Below are 1,846 nucleotides of genomic sequence, written 5' to 3'. Positions count from 1 at the left end.
GCAGTACTTCCCATAGTAGCAATGCTACACTTGTTTTGTAATTAATGTTTGCTTGCCCTTCTAAAAGGTGATCTCCGCGAGGTCTTGGATCATGTCCATAGCACATTGACATTGACCACAGCATCTGGTAGTATAGTAAGTGAATTTTTTTTTTTTTTTTTTTTTTTTTTTTTTTTGAGACAGAGTTTCACTCTTGTTGTCCAGGCTGGAGTGCAGTGGTGCGATCTCACTGCAGCCTCAACCTCCCGGGCCCAGGGGATTCTTCCATGTCAGCCTTTCAAGTAGCTGGGACCACAGGTGGGTGCCACCACGCCCGGCTAATTTTTTTGTATTTTTAGTACAGACAGGGTTTCACCATATTGGCCAGGCTGATCTTGAACTCCTGGCCTCAAGTGATCTGCCTGTCTTGGCCTCCCAAAGTGCTGAGGTTACAGGTATGAGCCATCGTGCCTGGTCCACATGGCCTTCTTTTAACAATGCCAGCCGCCATCCCATCTAGGAAGTGAAGAGCGTCTCTGCCTGGCCGCCCATCGTCTGAGATGTGGGGAGCGCCTCTGCCCCGCCGCCCCGTCTGGGATGTGAGGAGCACCTCTGCCCGGCCGCGACCCCGTCTGGGAGGTGAGGAGCATCTGCCCGGCCACCCCGTCTGAGAAGTGAGGAGCCTCTCCGCCCGGCAGCCACCCCGTCTGAGAAGTGAGGAGCCCCTCCGCCCGGCAGCCGCCCCCTCTGAGAAGTGAGGAGCCCCTCCCCCCGGCAGCCGCCCCGTCTGAGAAGTGAGGAGCCCCTCCGCCCGGCAGCCGCCCCGTCTGAGAAGTGAGAAGCCCCTCCGCCCGGCAGCCGCCCCGTCTGGGAAGTGAGGAGCGTCTCCGCCTGGCAGCCACCCCGTCCGGGAGGGAGGTGGGGGGGTCAGCCCCCCGCCCGGCCAGCCGCCCCGTCCGGGAGGTGAGGGGCGCCTCTGCCCGGCCGCCCCTACTGGGAAGTGAGGAGCCCCTCTGCCCGGCCACCACCCCGTCTGGGAGGTGTGCCCAACAGCTCATTGAGAACGGGCCATGATGACAATGGCGGTTTTGTGGAATAGAAAGGCGGGAAAGGTGGGGAAAAGATTGAGAAATCGGATGGTTGCCGCGTCTGTGTAGAAAGAAGTAGACATGGGAGACTTTTCATTTTGTTCTATACTAAGAAAAATTCTTCTGCCTTGGGATCCTGTTGATCTGTGACCTTACCCCCAACCCTGTGCTCTCTGAAACATGTGCTGTGTCCACTCAGGGTTAAATGGATTAAGGGCGGTGCAAGATGTGCTTTGTTAAACAGATGCTTGAAGGCAGCATGCTCCTTAAGAGTCATCACCACTCCCTAATCTCAAGTACCCAGGGACACAAACACTGCGGAAGGCCGCAGGGTCCTCTGCCTAGGAAAACCAGAGACCTTTGTTCACTTGTTTATCTGCTGACCTTCCCTCCACTATTGTCCTATGACCCTGCCAAATCCCCCTCTGTGAGAAACACCCAAGAATGATCAATAAAAAATAAATAAATAAATAAATAAATAAAATTAAAAAAAAAAAAAAACAATGCCAGTCATTGGATTTAGGGCCCACCCTAATCTGGTATGATGTCACCTTAACTAATTCTATCTACAAAGACTGTATTTCCAAACAAATCACATTCTGAAGCCTGGGAGGACATGAATTTTGAGGGGGATGCTATTCAACCCAGTACGAGGATATTGGAGAGCAGGGACAAACCAATGAGGTAGGGAGTGTTATCCCCAAATGGAAACAATGATAAACAGCTTTTCCCCTAAAAACTTCCCTAAACCTCTTTTGTAAAATGGATCCCAATATTGG

General features: G+C 52.7%; 1 annotated feature.

The window, feature by feature from the left end:
• Nucleotides 210-903: an enhancer, noted in NCBI's record as "H3K27ac-H3K4me1 hESC enhancer chr1:90263399-90264092 (GRCh37/hg19 assembly coordinates)". NCBI's record gives its function as "activates a minimal SCP1, AML or CMV promoter by ChIP-STARR-seq in naive and primed H9 embryonic stem cells {active_cell/tissue: H9 hESC(naive and primed)}" and the evidence as "EXISTENCE:reporter gene assay evidence [ECO:0000049][PMID:30033119]".

This window comes from Homo sapiens, chromosome 1, assembly GCF_000001405.40.
Source record: "Homo sapiens chromosome 1, GRCh38.p14 Primary Assembly".
In the NCBI taxonomy this organism is placed as follows: domain Eukaryota; kingdom Metazoa; phylum Chordata; class Mammalia; order Primates; family Hominidae; genus Homo; species Homo sapiens.
This window is presented reverse-complemented; position numbering and strand designations above follow the sequence as displayed.